The sequence below is a fragment of the Homo sapiens genome, chromosome 7, assembly GCF_000001405.40.
Source record: "Homo sapiens chromosome 7, GRCh38.p14 Primary Assembly".
Lineage (NCBI taxonomy): Eukaryota > Metazoa > Chordata > Mammalia > Primates > Hominidae > Homo > Homo sapiens.
In genome coordinates this window covers 106,112,623-106,134,354 of record NC_000007.14, presented here as the reverse complement: position 1 = coordinate 106,134,354, position 21,732 = coordinate 106,112,623, and the positions used below count along the sequence as shown (strand labels likewise).

Below are 21,732 nucleotides of genomic sequence, written 5' to 3'. Positions count from 1 at the left end.
AAAGATGCCTTTGTCCTGCTGGACCAGCTTTGCCCCTAGCCAAAGTAAATATTAGACAAAAAATTGACGAATATTATTTCAAGGGGACAGCAGCTTATATGCCTGCTTGGAGCACCCATCTTTGTTTGCGATCCCTCTTTAAACCCAGTATCTTTTCAAATCAAGGGCACAGAGGGAAGGTGCAGCCTCAGGACTGACGACCTTAGGAAGGGGGTGCAAAGCGTCTTTCTCCCCTTCATCCTGTAACACAGGGCCCAGTGCCCTTGGGCTGCCCAAGGCCAGGAAATGGGCCAGGTGGGACAAGGAGAGAAGGGGAATTAAGCCAGGTCTGCCCACCCTCAACCCCCAATACTGTCTCAGTTGTGCTTCATGGCAGGGGTAGGACGAAGGGGAGTTACATGTTTTGAGCACTTATTAGATGCCAAAGATTCTGCTGGTTGCATTATGTACATTATCCCTTTCTAATATGAGAAACACTTGGAGGTGGTTATCACTACTCCCACATTCTAGATGAGCCTCCAGGGAAGTTAAGAAATCGATCCAAGTTCACACGGAGATTCAAACGTAGGTCTGACTCCCAAGCTCCTGCTCACATGGCATCCCATAGACCCTCGGCTGCCAGCTCTGACTCAGTTGCCTCCATAGCACCAACTTACTCTGCCTGGGGCCAGCCAGCATCTTGCCAGGGAGGGCTGGGACCATACCCTTGCTGCTGCTGGGCAGCTAGGCAGAAAAGCCACAGGCTTGAGATTCTGGCATCTCTCACCACTTCTAGACTTAAATAAAACACAAGATGTGAGATCTAGTTTCCCGGCTGCCACCAAAAGAGGCCAGATAAGCAACCCAGAGGTAGTGCCCCAGAGAAGTTACCTTCCAATTAGAGACCCAATCTGCTCATTTCCTCTCCCTTCTTCCACCCAAGGACTGCTCCAAGGCAGACCTGTCCCACCTGAAGACTCCTATGCGGCTGGACAGGCTCACCTGCTGACTCACCAGCAGAGCTCTTCATGAAGTAAGGCCAAAGCACCCCGGCATTGCTCCCTATCCTTCCTCCTTGCCTCACTTTCCCCTACTATCAATGCTCTGAGATTGCACTTTCCAAATAAAGCATCAGCCTTAGACAGTTTCCTAGGGAACCCAGGCTTTCTAGTCATGTTTGTGCTTAGTTTCTTATTTCATTATTCTTAATGATATAAGTACCTGGAAACCTACCATCCAAAACAAAATCTGGAACCTTGACATAAACTTCATCTAACCATACACTGCCCACATCCCACACCCCTCACCCCGCCACCCCCCCAACCCCCCCCCCCACACACACACACAAGGTCACCATCATCCAGAGAATTCCTTGGCTTTTTGAAATATATAGTTTTATTGCACCTATATGTATTTCTATAAAGCTTATTTTTATATTAATTGTAACTCTAGAAAAATACATCGTGCATCGTTTAACGACAGGAATACATTCCAAAAAATGCATAATTAGGTGATTTCGTCACTGTGTGAACATCACAGAGTGCACTTACACAAACCTAGATGGTGTAGACCGCTACACACCTAGGCTGTATGGCATAACCCATTGCTCCTAAGCTATAAACTTGTACAGCATGTCACTGCACTGAATATTGTAGGCAACTATAACACAATGCTAAGTATTTGGGTATCTAAACATACAAAAGGTAAAGTAACAGACAGTATTAAAGATTTATAAATTACATACCTATATAGGGCAGTTACCATAGGTAAAGCTTGCAGGACTGGAAGTTGCTCTGGGTGAGTCGGTGAGTGAGTGTTGAACAAATGTGAAGACCTAGGACATTACTGTAGAGTACTGTAGAGATTATAAACCCTGGACACTTAGGCAATGGGAAATTTATTTTAAAAATATTTTCCTTCTTCAATAATAAATTAGCTTACTGTAACTTTTTAACTTTATAAACTTTTTTAAACTTTGAAATACACTTAGCTTAAAACAGGAACACATTGTATTTTCTTTCTTTATATCCTTATTCTATCAGCTTTTTTCAAATTTTCCACTTTTAAATTTTTATTTTCTATTTCTTAAACTTTTCTGTTAAAAACTAACACAAAAACATGCACTTTAGCCTAGGCATACACAGCTTCCTGATCATCAATGTCACTGTCTTCCACCTCCTCAACTTGTCCCAGTGGAAGGTCTTCAGGGGCAGTAACATGCATGGAGCTGTCATCTCCTATGATAACAGTGCCTTCTTCTGGAATTCCTCCTGAAGGTCCTGCTTGTGGTTCTTCTTGAGGAGGGTCACTCTTCAGAAATACATGCATGGTGGTTTTCTTGGTTTGTTTTTCCTTTTTTTTTTTGGTCAAAGATTTGCTTATAAGCAGATACTGCACTATGAAAATTCCTCTCTATTAATGAAAACTTTGCATTGGAGTCTATGTTTTTAAACGTTTTAAGGAGCTTGTTGAGGTTTGCAAACCTTCTGCTAAACCCTTCATGAATTTTCTTGGGGATTCTTCTTTTTCTTCTCCTACAATTTCCTTTTCTCTTACCTCTTCTTCAGCCATGCATTCCTGTTCCATTTCCAAAAACTTCTTGTTAGTCAATTCCTCAGGACAACATCGCTAGGTGATAGCAATTCTTCAGCTCCATTATAATCTTATGGGACCACTGTCATATATGGAGTCCATCACTGACTGCAATGTCATTATGTGGCATATGACTATATATCATATCATATACATTTGGGGCATTTATTTTCTTCACTTAATGTTTTATTATTGCTAGGAGTTGTCCACATTGTTGTGAATCAGTGTGGTTCATTTGTTTTTATGGTCCTACAATAGTTATGTAAACACACCGCAATTTATCCATCCACTCTCCTGTTGACAGGCATTTCAATTGTTTCCAAGTTTTTTGCATCAAAAACAGGGCAGCTATGAACATTCTTGTACACATCTTCTGTTTTACATCTGTAAAAGTTTCTATCTTGGTCCTTTTTCTGCAGCTATAACACAATATCACACACTGGGTAGTTTACAAGGAACAGAGATTTATTTGGCTCACAGTTCTGGAGGTTCAAGGGAATTAATCTCCACATCATAACATGGTGGAATGCATCACATGGCAAGAGAGAGTGCTCACACACGAGAAGGGGGCCAAACTCATCCCTCAGGAACCCACCCCTGAGATAACTAACCCAGTCCCACAATAACAGCATTAATCCCTCACCTCTTAAAGGTCCCACCTACCAACACTGTTGCATTGGAGATTCAGTTTCCAGCACATGACATCTGGGGAACACATTCGAACCACAGCAGTTTCCTTTGGTCCCATCCCTAGGAGTGAAATTTTTGGGTCATACACAGATGAATGTTCAGCTTTAGGAAATAATGCCAAACTGTTTTTCAAATTAGTTACACAAATCTATGCCCTTTCTTTCATACAAAGAGTGTTCCTTAAAATCCAATTATGTTTTTGTTTTGTTTTTGTTTTTGAGACGGAGTCTCACTCTGTCACCCAGGCTGGAGTGTAGTGGTGCAATCTTTGCTCACTGCAACCTCCACTTCCCGGGTTCAAGCGATTCTCCTGCCTAGCCTCCCAAGTAGCTGGTATTACAGGCATGCACCACCACATCTGGCTAATTTTTGTAATTGTTTTAGTAGAGAAGGGATTTCACCATGTTGGGCAGGTTGGTCTCAAACTCCTGACCTCAGGTGATCCGCCTGTCTCAGCCTCCCAAAATGCTGGGAATACAGGTGTGAGCCACTGCACATGGCCTAAAATCCAATTATTATAGTTCTCTTTGTTACAGGAAAGGGGTCCCAATCCAGACCCCAAGAGAGGGTTCTTGGATCTCACGCAAGAAATAATTCAGGGTGAATCCATACAGTAAAGTGAAAGAAAGTTTATTAAGAAAGTAAAGGAATAAAAGAATGGCTACTCCATAGACAGAGCAGCCCCAAGGGCTTCTGGTTGCCCATTTTTATGGTTATTTCTTGATAATATGCTAAACAAGGGGTGGATTATTCATGCCTCCCCCTTTTTAGACCTTATAGGGTAACTTCCTGACATTACCATGGCATTTGTAAACTGTCAGGGCGCTGGTGAGAGTGTAGTAGTGAGGATAACCAGAGGTCACTCTTGGTTTTGGTGGGTTTTTGCTGGCTTCTTTCCTGTAACCCGTTTTATCAGCAAGGTCTTTATGACCTGCATTTTGTACTGACCTCCTATCTCATCCCATGACTTAGAATGCCTTAACCATCTGGGAATGCAGCCCAGTAGGTTTCAGCCTTATTTTACCCAGCTCCTATTGAAGATGGAGTTGTTCTGTTTAACACTTCTGACACCTTTGTTCTGATAACTGCCAAAAATGAGAATTGCTGGTCGCTAGTTGAACATGCTATGTCTCTTCTGGGTATTCGTATTTTTTAAGAGGATGCTTGGAAAGGCAGTACTTCAATGCAAAGCCATGAATTTTTCAGGCTAATATTTCAGGGCTTCATTTCTATACGCCTTATCAGACTCACTCATCCAAGCATCACTGAAATGCTTACTGGGTTCTGGGGCTGTGCGAAGCATGAAGATGCAGAAGTGGGAGATACAGGCCCTGCCTCCAAACATCTTAAAGTCGCACACTTGAGTAAGACAACAAAACCATTATGTTGGACTTTGACAGTATCTCAGGTGAATCAGGTAACTCAAGTTAACATCAAGGCAGCAGAGGGCACAAGACGGCTTCCAGGAAAGTGGGTGCATATTCATCAGTCTTGAAGTTACCGAAAGGCAAATAACTTCAAGTAAGTCCCAGACTTGTTATCATCATTCCCCTACCACTGTAAATTTCCTGGGGGAGCTTGGCCCCTCCTCACAAGGACAAGTGGTTCTACAGTGAGTCATACCCCCTCTGCCCCACCAACTGTCCCCTTGCTAATAGGCTAATAGGAATGTATCCTTCTACTGAGCTTCATTCACACAAGGATCTCTTAGCATGGACAAAATGTCTGTTTGGACTCTTTCTTCCCCCATTCCCTATTCTTCCTAGCATTCTTTGCGTCTACTTTGCTTCATCTTCAAGTTAGCCCCCTCTATGTAGCAGCAAGATGGATGGATCCTGGCTGTTCCAGACCTCTAGAGATTTTAGAGCCTATGATCCAAAAAAGGGACATTTTTCTGGAAAGTCTCTGGTAAAACACCCAGAGACTTTCAAATGGTCCGTCATATATTACATACTCCTTCATGAGCCAGTCACTGTGATGAGAGGAATAAAATATACTGATTGGCTGAGCCTACATCACATACTATCCCTGGCCCAAACCACATGACCAGGAATACTTTGGAGTGTTGGAGGAGGAGCATGTTTCCCACAAGGAATGCTGGGCAGACAAAAATGTGTGCCACTAAAAGACCTGAGGAGATAGTTTTATTTGATTGCTCTAATTAATTCTCCTGCCTCTTTCACTAGTAGGTACATGAGAACAAGGCATAGACATATTTTACATAGTTCCTTGGTATTCTATTAATGATAGTACAATTAAACTTTTAATATAAAAATAACATTAAGTTATCTCCCTGTCTTCTTACTTCTAATGGCTTTAGGAATCACATGCTTTGCTAAGTAAGTGTTTAGGACTATGCATGCATAGTACATATTTATAGTACCACCTTAACACTGAGCAACAAGTCCTCAAGGGCTTACTTTGGAGTTTCGTGCATGGGATCCCCATGCTATGCTTTTTTTTTTTTTTTTTTTTTTTTGAGACAGGGTCTTGCTTTGTCACCCAGGTTGGAGTGCAGTGATGCAATCACAGCTCACTACAGTCTTGACCTCCCAGGCTCAAGCAATCCTCCCACCTCAGCCTCCCAAGTAGCTAGGACTACAGGCATGCACCACTGTGCCCAGCTAATGTGTGTGTGTGTGTGTGTGTGTGTGTGTGTGTGTTTAGTGAGATAAGGTCTTGCCATGTTCCCCAAGATGGTCTCAAATTCCTGGGCTCAAGCAATCCTCCCAAAGTGCTGGGATTACAGGCATGAGCCACTGCATGCAGCCCCCACACTATTAAACTTAAAAGGAATTCTGTTCACCACTCTCCCTCTTCTCATTACCTAAGTTACTGATGTTGAAATGGTGCGAATTCACTCTCCTACGTGGAGCATCTTCAGTCAGTTTTCTTGTTAGTTTATTTCCACGGCTCTGGGCATATTCCTCATTCCTCTCTCCTTGTCACCAGCTGCTTCATGACTAATCACATTTCCCTGTTTTCTTCTTCTCAGGCCAGTCTATTAGAATTCTCAAGCCTGGAATTTTGGGATATATAACAGGAGGGTGGGCATCGTATAGTGGGTGGGCATAGCAAACAGAAGGTAGGGTTTAACATTAAACCACACAGGCAGCAGTTAATCACACCTGTTTAATTATTAGAATTGGCTCTGAGGAGCCCCTCAGTGTTTAGAATGTTGAGTCTACAGAATTTCTCTTTTTTTTTCAATGGTGAAAGGAAGTTTTATTATCTTAACTTGACCCAAATTATAATATTATTTATAAAAGTTATATAAATGCAGGTTGATTGTTTTGAAAGAGTCAAAAAGCCAAATAAAAATAAAGCACTAGAAATAAATTCAGTTATAAGCAGTTGACATCATTCTTCTAAATGTTATGTGGAATCATAGGAAGAAACATCATTGCAATCATTTTCAAAGTAATATTAAAGGTATCAGAAGAAATGTTGGGTCTTAAATGTCAATTTGAATGTACAGTGTCTACAATAATAGATCAGAGAGAAAGTAAGTATATCTGTAAAGGAAAAAAGGCCGGGTATGGTGGCTCACGCCTGTAATCCCAGCACTTTGGGAGGCCAAGGCGGGCAGATCATGAGGTCAGGAGTTCGAGACCAGCCTGGCCAACATAATGAAACCCTGTCTCTACTAAAAATACAAAAAAGAAAAAAAAAATTAGCCTGACATGGTGTCAGGTGCCTGCTACTCAGGAGGCTAAGGCAGGAGAATCGCTTGAACCCAGGAGGTGGAGGTTGCAGTGAGCCAAGATCGCACCATTGCACTCAAGCCTGGGCAACAAGAGCGAGACACCATCTCCAAAAACAAAAGGCAGGAAAAAATGGCTGGGTGCAGTGGCTCACACCTGTAATCCCAGCACTTTGGGAGGACGAGGCGGGAGGATAACGAGGTCAGGAGTTCAAGACCAGCCTGACCAACATGGTGAAACCCTGTCTCTACTGAAAACACAAAAATTAGCACTTGTAGTCCCAACTACTCGGGAGGCAGAGGCAGGAGAATTGCTTGAACCTGGGAGACGGAGGTTGCAGTGAGCCGAGATTGCGCCACTGCACTCCAGCTCAGGCGACCGAGCAAGACTCTGTCTAAAAAAAAAAAAAAAAAAAAAAAAAAATCAGGAAAAAATGAGTTAGTTTCTAGTACTGTAAGTACTGTATCCTTCAATGAAAGAAGAACACAGATTAAGGATAAAACGACAGTCTTATCAACTAGGCCACCTTTAAGAATCATTTATCAGGGTAGCTAAAAGGAGCAACAATAAAGCTCTACATACATAACTGAAATGTTTACCATTAATCTAGTCCCAGCACTTTTATTTGTAGAGTTCTCAAATCAAAGTAACAACTAATTATACATCAGGATTGTTAGGAATACCAAATATTATTTTACAACTGCCACTATGTGTTTCTTCTTCTCTGACACAATTGGCACAGATCCAGGCTTGCTGTGTTTAACGTGATTCACTTCCTCTCATCGACAAGCTTCTTTCATGATGCACTGTTCCTGAATTGGGCTGTAGACAGAATTTGGTAGATGTCAATGACGAGCTATCGGTTGTATATGAGGATGACGCTGAAATTTCTCCTTCAGTTTCTGGTTATAATACTTGGCTGCTTTTTCTTGTGATGTAAGCATACCAAATTTTGCAGAAGCATTAGCTTTCCATAGGTAACTGTTCATTTCATCAGATCCATACATAATATACTTGCTGTCAGAAGTCCATTTTACACACATAACATGTTGCTTTCACTTTGTGTGATATACCTCCCTGCTTTGACTTTTATCTACAGGAAAGATTCAAATAGATTTATTGAAACTAGCAGACACAAACTCTTTCCCAGTGGGAGAGTAATCCACATCAAGCACTGCAGATACATGATCCATATGGACCATTACATGAGTGCACGCATATCAAAAGTAAATAAGTTATAATCATCATTTGCTGCCATAAAAATGAAAGCTTCCATAGGGTTTCAACAGACTGTATTTGTTCTCATATCTAAGATAACCTTTTTCAGAGGAGTAGCTTGCCTCATATCATACAGTACTGTAGTCCTGTCGGAAGCACAACTTCCCAAGATAAATGTCTCAATTGCATTAAATTTACCACTACTTATACTGTCAAATCTCCAGGTCATTGAACTTATAGGATTAGTTATTTGTTCATCCCAAATGTCTACTTGCTGTCCACATGTGGCAAAAACAGCTTCTTTCCAGTGATGATCAATCCCAGTATACACTGTCTTTCCTAATATTGTATGTAATGGCCCTTCCTCCTCTCCGTAGCCTGGCCCATCCATTTTCCACTGCTTCACAGTTTTGTCATCACCAACAGTGAAAAAAGAAGTCCCACAAAAGTGAGCACGTATTCCCTGTACAAAACCTTCATGTGCTTGTATTATACGGATACATTTCAGCTGAGTCAGGTTCCAAATTCTAACTGCTCCATCACATCCCCTAGAAAGGAGAGTAGCCAGGATCTTTGGATGCTTTGCCAAGCAACTCACTCCATCTCGTGACCATCCAGCCAAGCCAGGCATGGTTTTGCAAATACTCCTTCCAGTTTGGTAGCATTTAAAACTCTTACACATTCTTGCAGGACCTCAAAAGGATGTAAGGTAGGATCACAGTTTCTTGGAATAATCTGTAAGTCCAACTTGGTTTTGCGGACATAGTTGTCCGGATTCCAGCTCAATGTCTTCACCTTCACCTTCGTTGCTCTTCCTGCCAGACTCCACAAGCTCTTTGCTCTATAGAATTTCAAAGAGTACTGAGAGTGTCACAGGATTATCCCCAGAAATTTCCTCCTACAGGACCTGAGTCAATCATAGTTTTTATGTAGATTATGAAGACTGCAGCCCTTACCAATTTTTCTCTGTTTTGCCATAGATTTTGCAGGGCAATCTAATTGTAAAGCAGAAAACAAAAAAATATATATAAAAAGCACGTTTTGTGTTCTTCACTGCACTTATCACAACTTGAAAATATATATAGTTTTTGTCCTATCTTTCCCTTTATTTTATTTTATTTTATTTTATTTTATTCTATTCTATTGAGACAGGGCCTGGGTCTGTCACGCAGGCTGGAGTGCAGTGGTGTGATCTTGGCTCACTGCAACCTCCACCTCCTGGGCTCAAGCCATCCTCCCACTTCAGCCTCCCAAGTAGCTAGGACTACAAGCTCAGGCCACCACACCCAGCTAATTTTTGTATTTTTTGTAGAGATGGGGTTTCACCATGTTGCCCAGGCTGGACTCAAACTACAGAGCTCAAGCAATCCACCTGCCTTGGCCTTCCAAAGTGTTGGGATTACAGGCATGAGCCACTGCGCCCAGCCCTATCTCTCCCTTTAAAATAAACTCTTTGAGGTCTACTTTGTATGATCAGCACTTAACAAAGTGTCCAGTACATATGAGTGATCAGTAAATGCTAGAAGGAATGTATGAAATGTTCAGGTTTTTCTTCTCAAATGATTGGCAAATAATGAAATGAAAGATACTAAGAGTTCAGTCTTCCCCAAGCTAACTTGTATCATAAATCCAAGTTGCCTTAGCTCTGCTTTGCATTTTCCTTTTTTTCAATACTGAGCAGCTTCTCCATCATACTTCCCAGGCATTCACTATCCCTTTTACAGCTCTTTGGCAGCCTAGAACTTTTCCCTTTAGTTAAGTCTGTCTTCCTGGGATGGTGCCCAGATTCCAAGACTATCTCTTTCTTGCTCTACTCCCATTAAAACTCCCATTATTTTATTTTTTACTGCCAGGAGAAAAATATTCAGATAATTTCTCATTGAAGCATTATGCTGTAATAGACCATTTAATCCAGTAATTCTCCAGGGTATTTGTATTTTAGAACATGAAGCCGTTAGCCTAAGATAGAGAATGTATTATGATGGCATTTCAGGGTCAGTGTGACAGTGGCATGGGGTGTATATATATTTCCGTAGGTGGGTGGTGGGGTGATTGGGACTTTTCTTATTCTCTCAGGCCTCATCAAAAAGGTGGTCACCTGCCTTGATTACAAAGTCAAAGTCAGTAAATTCCTAGTCAAAATCAATAAACTCAGGCTTCTCACCATTGGTCATACTAGGAGAGGAAAAAATCAACAAAGAAAAATAAGAAAGCAGAGGGGTTTAAATACAAACACAGAAACCTTGCTTTTCCCTCAAGGAAAATAGCAACAATAACAAATTGCGTCAGAAAGCAAAGACCAATTTATTGAGCTTGTAAGACAATTAATGACAAATGTTTATCACTTTAAAAAATTCGAATGGGTGGAAAGTATAAAAAAATACAAGCCCATGAAACATAAACAACATTCACAAGCAGGCCGAGTGTGGTGGCTCACGCCTGTAATCCCAACACTTTGGGAGGCTGAGGTGGATGGATCACCTGAGGTCATGAATTCAAGACCAGCCTGACCAACATAGTGAAACCCCATCTCTACTAAAAATACAAAAATTAGCCAGGTGTGGTGGCACACACCTGTAATCCCACCTACTCAGGAGGCTGAGGCAGGAAAATCGCTTGAACCTGGGAGGTGGAGGTTGCAGTGAGCCAAGATCACGCCATTGCACTCCAGTTTGGGCAACAGAGTGAGACTCTCTCTCAAAAAAAAAAAAAAAAAAAAAAGAATGTTCACAAGCAGATTCTCCAAAATATTCCTTTAAATGACCAACTCGTAAAGTGTATTTAAAAGAAAATTCCATTTGAAAAAATTACAGTTAAGTTTCTACCAGCACTTAGGGAGGCTGAGGTGGCTGGATCACCTGAGGTCAGGAGTTCGAGACTGGCCTGGCCAAAATGGCGAAACCCCATCTCTACTAAAAATACAAAAGTTAGTTGGGTGCAGTGGCGCATGCCTGTAGTCCCAGCTACTTGGGAGGCTGAGGCAGGAGAATCGCTTGAACCTGGGAGGCAGAGGTTGCAGTGAGCTGAGATCGTGCCACTGCACTCCAGCCTGGGTGACAGAGTGAGACTCAAAAATAAATAAATAAATAAAAATAGTTAACTTTCTAGAAACCCACCTACTGTGTAAAGTACCTTCCTATGCCTGCTAGAGAAATGATATACAAACTTCCATTGCCATCAATTCATCAGCATTAGAATTTTCCTGGCCAGCCTCCACTCAGGCATTTCTTTCTTTCCCCTCTTTGCATCATGTTAGAAGATCGATTTCTGTTGTTGATAAGATCACAGACATCTTGGGTATGTGACTAGCTAACATTGAAAGTGGTCACCTTCAGTGATCTGTTCCCTCCTAATAAATGCTATGATGCCACTCAGAATCTGATCTTGGTGGTTCTGACACAAATTCTGCAGGGTTAGAATTAGGAGGGAAGGGCTACTGTATATTTCTGGATTTCCCACCCTAGGTACAGGAAGTTCAGATCCTGGAAAAATTCTGTCTAGCACACTTAAAACAAAGCCCCTCGTTCACCCAGTTTATTGTCTCAGAAGATCTATCAACTGTTTTCTTCTTCGTAGGAAGTCAGTTCTCTGTGCAATTGCAAATAGGATAAATAAACCATTCATTCAGAACTAGTGGACATTTTGTTTTGCTTTCCACCTGATTTCAAGAGAGAGTGGTGGCTATAATACAATGTTAAACTTGAAAACTCTGTATAAATCTTTGTGGGCACTCTGCTTCTCAGGGAGACAACAAAACATGCAAGTCCTTTGAATAATTATTTATGAGAGAGGCTGCTCAAAACTGGATCTTAAAACCTCTTATCAACCCTGCTCATATAGCATAGGTAACCTGCTAAGCCCTCCATCCATCCTTGGCTATGATTTTGGGACAAGCCTGTGGCTTCTTCATATCTGTTTTCATTCCCAAGTTCCGATTTGTTTTATCTGAAGTATTTCATCAATGTTAACATATGCAAAGCTGATGCCATATAAATACCCTCATTACACAGATGAGGTAAGCCAAAGGAAATTAAATGGCAAATGCTCCAGGAAAATTTGTAGATCTCACAAATCCAGGACAGGAGCCAGTGGTTTCTGTGTCTAAATGCTGTGCTTTTTTCACAAGCAGTTTATGCTGCTAGTGCCAACCTGGCTGTCTACACTTGCTCATTGTCACCATACCCGGGAACTGAGACCTCATGACCAATAGGTTTAGAAAATATCAGCTAGCTTGAACCTACCACCTAAACACCTTGCCTGTTCAGCTTCTACACTACTGACATAGTGATCTTCCTAAACTGAAATCTGATCATATTACTCTCCTTTGCCTAAAAGCACCTCCCTAGCAGAGAATATAGTCCAAACTCCTAGCCTGATATACAAAGCCCTGACTCTACACTGCTCCCCTAACCCAAAGCATCAGATATATCAAAGTATTTGGTCCCACTATAGAACTCCCCCTCCTCTATCACTATGCCCTACCCTCTGCAGCACCTCTGCTGAAAACTCCCCAGCCCCCATCTACTTGAGGAATCACCTACACATCTCTCAAGCTACAGTGCTGTGTCACTTCCCCTAGGAAGCCTTTTCTGATACACTTTCTTCCCTCTGAACTTCAGTTTCTGCATTAGCAAAATGTGGATTATAATTCCTACACCATACTGTAACTCAAAGATCACATAAAAAAATGACCCTGAAAGTTCTCTGAAAAAGGCAAAGCACTATTCAAAGGCCAAGTTATGTTATTATAAAATAGTTATTACACAATAAGCCTTTTTTTAGAAACTTAATTACAGTACTTGTAATGATTATTATAAAAATAACCTCGGCCAGCACAGTGGCTCATGCCGGTAATCCCAGCACTTTGGGAGGATGAGGCAGGTGGATCACTTGAGGCCAGGAGTTTGAGACTAGCCTGGTCAACATGGTGAAACCCCATCTCTACTAAAAATACAAAAGTTAGTTGGGTGCAGTGGCGCATGCCTGTAATCCCAGCTACTTTTGAGGCTGAGGCACGAGAATCGCTTGAACCCAGGAGGCGGAGGTTGTAGTGAGCCAAGATTGGGCCACTGCACTCCAGCCTGGGTGACAGAGTGAGACTCAGTCTCAAAAATATAAAAATAAAAATAAAATTAACTGCTACAAATTAGAGGACTTTCCCTGTCTATTCACTGCTTAAATGTGAGCTAAGCTTGAAATGGTGATGACACAAATAGACTAAAAGTAGACCCACACAGGGAGGATTAGCATGACCTCTGCCCCACATAGTTTTCAGTAATGAAAAACTGCATTTTATTTGCTTTCAAGAATTATATTCTCATTTCATATTTCTTTCATTTTATCAATGGAACATTCTTCCTTACAACTCTAATTCGCTCTAACCAAAGTCTGATTTCCTTAAATGACTTTTGTTCTAGCACTAAGTCTTAGCTGCTTCCTACCCACCCAATCAGAAGACTGATGCACCCACTCCACTGTTTCTGGAACACAGTGGCAAGAACGGGTAACATTTCCTCAGTTCTTAGTCTGTACCAGGCACTCTTCTAAATGATCTCTTATGATTATAAAATTTAAATCCCACTACAACTCTCATTTCCTGTCTGCAAAATGGGAATGAGAAAATGGAAACTTAGGAAGGTTAAACCTCTTGTCAAAGTGTAGGGTAAATGCCCCTGAGAGGAATAACTTGAACATACCCTTAGAATGGCCCTGTGGGACAGACGCACCTGACTGTGTGTTCCCAGTGAGGGAATACAGGAGTAGCCAAACCAGAGGTTCATTCCTTGTATGAGAGGAACATCTGAGCCCCAGGCCCATCCAGTAGAACAACAGCCATACAGGGGTTTGAGTCCTGAGTTTTGGGTTGGTTGTGTAACCACCCGAGGAGTTTTTCCTGCCTGCTGTACAAAGAAAGAGTACAGCATTACAGTACAGAAAAAGTTTAATAGACATGAGGCCAGCCATGCCACGTGCCTCGTCCAAAGATCGTAGTTTAGGGGTTTTTCAAAGGCAGTTTAGGAGAGGGGTGGGGGTGGCTGGGGTTGCTGCTGATTGTTTGGGGTAGAGATGAAATCATAGGGAGTGGAAGCTGTCCTCCTGCACACTGAATCGCTTTTGGGTGAGGTCACAGGAGTGGGATTGGTGGGTACAGGTAGAGCCATGGGTGTCAGACATTCAAAAAACCTGAAAAGATACCTCAAAAAGCCAACCTACAATAGTGGTGTTATCTACAGGAATGGCTGGCTACGCCTTAGCAGAAATCAGGCTCCTCTCCACCCCCTAGCCTGATGGCCACTCATTAGCTTTAAAAAGGTGTTTGAGTTTGGGGGAAGGGCTATTATCATTAAACTATAACCCAGATGTCTTCTAAAATTAACTCAGCCCAAAAGCCCTGGAATGATTAAGGCAGCTTACAAGCTAAAGGCAAGAGGGGCAGGTGGGCTAGATCGGATCTCTTTCACTATTATAATTTTGTGCACATTTTAAACTGATGGAAAAACTACAACAAAAAAATTCATAGCTCAAATGGTTAACCTGCACTATAGAGTTAAGTAGAGTCTTCTAAAGCTCTCTATCTTCCTCTCTTTTTTTCTGCCTGCTTTAAATCTGCTGTTACTCAGCTGCTAGTGCTGAGATGATACTCATTATTTACGTTCTAACTAGAAGGTAAACATTGGAAACTCATTTAAATTTTTAAAAAAGGTAAAAGAGGTTTTGTTAAACCAAACAACCTAGAATTTTTAAATCTCCCTTAAAGTTAATGGAAATAAATCCAGCACCTCCTTTAAACCTTATTCTTTTTTTTTTTTTTTTTTTTTTTTTTGAGACAGAGACTCACTCTGTCGCCCAGGCTGGAGTGCAGTGGCCTGATCTTGGCTCACTGCAACCTCCACCTCCCAGGTTCAGGTGATTTTCCTGCCTCAGCCTCCCAAGTAGCTGGGACTACAGGTGCGTGTCACCACGCCCAGCTAATTTTTGTAGTTTTTTTAGTAGAGAAGGGGTTTCACCTCATCATTCTCAGCAAACTATCACAAGGATAGAAAACCAAACACCTCATGTTCTCACTCATAGGTGGGAATTGAACAATGAGAACACTTGGACACAGGAAGGGGAACATCACACACCGGGGCCTGTCATGAGGTAGGGGGAGTGGGGAGGGATAGCATTAGGAGATACACCTAATGTAAATGACGAGTTAATGGGTGCAGCACACCATCATGGCACATGTATACATATGTAACAAACCTGCACATTGTGCACATGTACCCTAGAACTTAAAGTATAATAATAAAAAAAAAAAAGAGAGAAGGGGTTTCACCGTTTTGACCAGGCTGGTTTCAAACTCCTGACCTCAGGTGATCTGCCCACTTTGGCCTCCCAAAGTGCTGGGACTCCCAAAGTGAGTCACCGTGACTGGCCCTTAAACGTTATTCTTAAAGCTGACTCTTTTTATTCAATTCTACTGCAAGTTCTCAGTAACTATCCAACTGCCTCTCTTGAGCAGCTTCACCCTGTTGATATTAATGCTTTTATAAGGGAGATAGTACACAATTGCTATTTGCAGGCCGACCTCCAAAACTACAGCCCAGGGGAAATTTCTTTATCTTTGTCCTAGCAATGTTATTTACCCCCATGCCACAACATTGATATGCTGAGGTACTAATTGTTTGGTTTTTTTCATACTCTTTACAGCCTTTCTTCTTTCCTGTCTCCCTAAGTTTACTGTATATTGTCATTTTCCTTAAATATTCTTCTGTGTTTATTCTGTCTGTCATGGCTAACTATTGCTTCCATGGCTACACCAAGCACCCACTATAACCAGTAATATCTCAGGTTGCTAACACAACACACAGCACTAACCGCTGGATATGCTCACGTGGGCAGTCACTCGAGAATGACATTACACTCCTAGCAGTTCCACTATCTATAGAAGAAATTGCTAACACACAAGCCAAATACTCTGGATTCAACTACGCCAGGTACACGCACACCAAAAATACAGGTTTATGAGGTAAACCTAGGCCAATCGATCCCTCATGCCAATCACCCACGGTGACCGAGCAAATAGGGAGGGCACCAGAGATGGCTTATAATGCTAGAAATTCCAAGGAGTCTGGCCCTTTCCCAGGGGCTTTAACACACAAGTCCATTGCAATTACACTGTCAGCTATGATCAAACAAACCAGAATGGAAGCCATGCAATGACTCTTAACAAGTTCACTGTGTACCTCCACAGTTTTTCTCTATGGTGAGGAAACAACAAAGTTCATGCCAGAAAGATTTATAACAATTCCTTTATGCCTATAAATAGTTCAGCAGCCAGGATGGAACATATAGAAATAGCAGTCAAAACTGGACGACTTCTCAACTTCACTAATACATCTACATCTTTTCCTCAATTTTCTCTTATCCCATTAATATTCAAAAATCATATCTGTCAGGCCCCACATTCACATAACACTACAAGTCAAACTTTTACCCCCTTATGCGTGGATAACTACTTTTTGGGTCACTGCCCATCCACATTTAATCCCAGGGGACCATGGGATCCCTCTATTTATGCAAACCATACGGGAATCTAAACTAATCACACCTATGCCTGGTTGTGAGGTTCCTCTTCAGGAGTTTCATTAAAAGGAACTGGGTTCTTCTTTTTATACAGATCTAACATATTTCTAGCCTTGTCTATTAAGTGAAGAGGCACTTACACTACAGTTGCAGCAATATCTGGAGTGCACATATATAACTCCTCAGACTTCGTAACCTCTAGCCAAGCTCCAAATTTAAAATCCTTCTTATGTTGGTCCCTCCAAAGGACATCAGAAGCAGTACTTAGTCTCCCATCATTTAGCATCCTCGCCAATAATAATCCTGTCATAGAGAAAAATGACCTAGGACATTCTGTAGCCAGTGCAATCTTTTGGTTTGCAGATATACCCATGCTTAAGTGCAGTATTCATAATCTCACCATCCTAGTCCAGCAATCTTGGGAAGCTACAATCACGGCCATTGAAGGCCAATGGCAGGCCCTGAACTCGCTGGCAGGGTATGTTTTGCAGAACCAACTCACTTAGGAGGTGCTTCCTGCTGAAGCAGGAGGCACCTGCATGCTGTTAAATAAAACTTGTTGCTTTTACATCAGTAACTCAGGTCAGGTAGAAGAAAGTTTAGAAAAGATAACAGACAACATAAAAATATTAAAGGGCCTTCAAAACAGAGTTCCTCAAGATTCCTTTTCAGCACAACTATTTCAAAGCTTCTCCAGTTAAATTTGGCCATGGGTTGCTCAACTTCTTCTGCCTATAATAAAGCTCATATTAGTTTGTTTATTTGCATACTGTATTGTTAATTCTACATCTGATTTTGTGTTTTCTAGGATACAACAATTTCAAACCAAAACAGTACTACAGCAAAGGTATCAGCTACATAACTTTCCTTTGAATGCAGCAGAACAAAATTTTAGGCTACAAATGCTGTTCTCCCATAGTCTCATAGCAACCCTGACCAATTTAAGTCCCAACTCAGGGATTTAGGTGTACATAACCTCCTGACCGACTAACAATCCTAGGTAGGGCCAACTATACACCCCTGGTCAGCAAGAAGCAGTTGGAAGATGAGACCTTTAACCACATGCCAAAGATTAGTCATTGTTGCTGTCAGGGTGTGAAGAAAGGTAGAGTCCTAATTCAGGAGAAGGAGTCAGGCTGGCAGGACCAGGGGAAAGCAAAACGAGAAAGCAGATAGATAAGCTATAAGTCTGCCTTTCTTCATGGTCCAGGACACATAGCCCTCATGTGTAAATCACTCACAATCTTCCTGTGCCGAGCTACCACCTGACTCTTGGCTGACAGAAAAATGCAAGTTAGCTCACTGCAACCTCGGCATTACCAATACTGCACAAAGTCTTCTTCAAGCGCAGAGCACAAGCACCATCCTATAAAATCCCTAGCAAGCTTTTGACTCTTTGCAGTCAGCTCCTCTTTCGCTGACCTGCCTGTTGCACCCTTGCAATACATTTTCCTACGTTCTCAAATAAATCTGCCTTTCTTTACCTACGACTGTCTTGGTAAATTCTTCTTACTGCCTGTACCACTGGCCCCAGATAGTTTCTGATCACCTGTGACACTCATTACATTAAATGTGGTTTCCTGGATTGGATCCTGGGGGAGTAAAAAAGACATTAGTGGACAACTGATGAAGTTTGAAAAATTCTTTAGTTTAGTCAGTAGTAACACATCAATACTAATTTTTTTTGTTTTGACAAATGTATGATGGTTATAGAAGATGTTAACATTAGGGGAAACTGGGTGAAGTGTATACAGAACTCTTTGTACTTTGCAATTCATAAATCAAAATATGTTTTAAAATGAAAAGTTTAAGAGGCCTCAGATTACTTTGAGATTAATTTACTGAGCCTATTAAATCCATCTATTGTACAATTTAAATAAATTTGGTTATCTTAAAATTTTTCTAAAATGATTATTGAATTCATTAGCGAAAACAAAACACCTATTTGTGTTTATAAGCAAAAGTCAGGTTTTGAATTTGGTATTAAACAATATCTTTTCAGAAAAGGAGATAAATATTGGTTGGGAATGAGTTACAAAGTCTCATCTTGCCAATAAGATGACCAAAACTTTGTATTCCCATTGAGAAAAACAAAAAATATTATAGTTAGCCAATGAGATGTCTAATATAGTTAATATATGGTTGACTAAATATAGTTTCCTTTCTGGCCTTCTGAGCATTCCTAAATCCCAAGTGTCACAGTCTGGCACATGTGTTCAAAGCCACAGAGAGAAAGTAAAACAATGACAAATTATGTAGGTAACTTAGCCATAATTATACCACCACAGATAAAGCTCAATAATACTACCTCAGATAGACAGAACCATTTTATATTACAGGGATTCTTTTCCAAATAGCCCTGGTAGAGTAGACCTGGAACATGTTGTTCCCAGAGCATCTGGCTCTTTCCTCAGATTTGAGGAACAAATCAGAAAATGACCAGTGTTGTAGTCAATGTGATACAGTCATCTGAACATTCTTCCCTGATTTTGAACAGTTGTGCCTTCAATGAGATGCTATTGTTTAAACACTTTTGTTTGAGGAGGATTTAAAAAAAAATCACAATTATCTTGTTGCCCAATCAGATCTCACTGGCTCTGCCAGTCACGGCCAGTTCCTTCTCAGGAAGGTAGGCCCCTGAGCTCAGCTGACTGGCAGAAGCAGTGCTAGGCTGTGACTGAAGGTGAGCAGTGGCGGCTCACTTCTGTTTCCTTCTGCTCAAGAGAGATTCTGCGAATGAGTTCTGATAAGTGACCAGATGTGGTTCTGCTCACCCTCGGTGGTCTCCATCTTTAAAATCGAGTGCCACAGGGCCAAGGAAGGAACCTTCTTAAAGTTCAAGGAGTTACTCTAGCACTGAAGGTTTCCTGAGGAAATGTAACCACCATGCCTTCCACTGGTGGGCTTGAACAAGAAGCAGGAGAGAAAGTGAGGAGAGGCAGACAGAAGCAACAGAAAGTTTAGCGCGGAAGTTGAGAAAGGGCCTGGCCAATTCCAATTTCTAAGGCCTTCAATAAACAAAAAGAAGAAGAGATGCCAATATTGGTTTACTAAGTCATGGTATGTTTTAGATCTTTAATTAATAAAGCTGCATGTGAACATATCTCTAATCTGTCAAGGCATATCTCATTTTGAAATAACATTAAGAGCTGGGCGCGGTGGCTCACGCCTGTAATCCCAGCACTTTGGGAGGCCGAGGTGGCGGATCATGAGGTCAGGAGTTCAAGACCAACCTGGCCAACATGGTGAAACCCCGTCTCTAATAAAGATACAAAAAAATTAGCCGGACGTGGTGGTACGTGCCTGTAATCCCAGCTACTCGGGAGGCTGAGGCAGGAGAATCGCTTGAACCCGGGGGTGCAGAGGTTGCAGTGAGCTGAGATCACGCCATTGCACTCCAGCCTGGGTGACGGGGCAAGACTCTGTCTCAAAAAAAAAAAATAATAATAATAACATTAAGAGTCTAATTTGAATATTCGTGAATATGAAGCTCAAGCTAAATAGTCTTACTATTCACTACTCCGTCCCCAGGTGCCTACCCAGAAGACCGCAACAGAATGAGAGTAAAAGCTTAGAAAAACGGGCTAAAGAGAACAAAAAGAGAAGTACTGAGAGGAAGATACAGAAACAAAGTAGAAAAAAAAGGAGAGAGAGGAAGCTGGAAGACCTGGAGCACCGCTCATCGTGGTCTCAGACGCACCAGGTAGCAGTGTATGGTCACCTTCCACTCACCTAGCCCTAAGGGGTATCTATGATGCTTTGTTGCTTAGTGGGAGAAATCTGCAACCATCCATTAGGAACCCGCTGCAACCCCCCCACCTCCCGGTTCAAGCGATTCTCCTGCCTCAGCCTCCTGAGTAGCTGGGATGACAGGCGCGTGCTACCACGTCAGGCTAATTTTTTTGGTATCTTTATAAGAGACGGGGTTTCACCATGTTAGCCAGGTTGGTCTTGAACTCCTGACCTCACGATCCGCCGGCCTCGGCCTCCCAAAGTGCTGGGATTACAGGCGTGAGCCACCGCGCCCAGTTCTTAATGTTATTTCAAAATGAGATATGCCATTAGGTGCTCATTGAGCACTGACTGTGCTGGGGACTGAGGAACGGGAGCCAAGATAAACATAAAGATTGTCTCTGTCTGCATAGAAAATGAAATGTATTTTTTGCACTCTCTGGACAGCAAACAAGGAGATAGGTCTCGAAAGAGAAAGGGTTCGCTTACTACAAGGACGTTCAATAACAGTTGTCAACCCTGACGGAATAACCTCAGTGGCAAGTAGCCTGCAAATCATATTCGTGCTTGAAATTCAGGTAAGTCCTTGGAAGCTGGTTTTTCATATACACGAATATGACCACATTCCAGCTGTCCAGGAACTTTCCAGGTACTGAAGAAGCCAGGAAGGAGATCACACTACCTTGGGGCTCCCGTAACTGCGTGCCAAGAGGAAAGTATCACCTAAGCCGAATCTTAAAGGGGTCAGCTTCTTGAAGAAAGATACCAACGATGCCTTAAAAAGAGGACTGTCGACCGACAGCGTAGAAGAGGTGAAAGTGTAGGTCACCGAGGGCCTGTCCGGCCACGCCTTTCCTTTTAGGTATAAACTTACTTCATTTTTCAACCATGGCTGCGATGGTAACTTTGAAAATAAACCTAATTTCCATACGAATATTTGGTGATTCACACTTTCGAGGCACCCCACAGCACGGTAGCCAGAAGTCTGTTGTTTTGCAATTTTAATCAAAGGCCCCTAACACATGCCTTGAAACACAACTTCATCTGTGCCAATACATTATAAATTCATAAAAAAGTTGAGATCTGTTAAGGGAAGGAGAGGTCAGCTTCGGTGTAGTGAGCTCAGCTGTGGTGAGCTCGGGGTCAAGTGAGGGTGTCTCTGAGGCCAGCGCCCCCAAGCTGCGCAGGAGCGGGCGTGGGCGCCCCCGGGTCAGGGCTCTTCGCAGTCGCGCGGGTCCGGAAGCGCGGC

The 21,732-nt window shown here is 42.0% G+C and overlaps 1 pseudogene, besides 1 other annotated feature; it reads right to left on the bottom strand.

Annotated features, from left to right (window-relative positions):
• Positions 6,466 to 9,036, bottom strand: DCAF13P1 (DDB1 and CUL4 associated factor 13 pseudogene 1; annotated as a pseudogene).
• Positions 21,636 to 21,695: a silencer, noted in NCBI's record as "silent region_18529". NCBI's record gives its function as "represses an Ori minimal core promoter by ATAC-STARR-seq in GM12878 lymphoblastoid cells {active_cell/tissue: GM12878}" and the evidence as "EXISTENCE:reporter gene assay evidence [ECO:0000049][PMID:35858748]".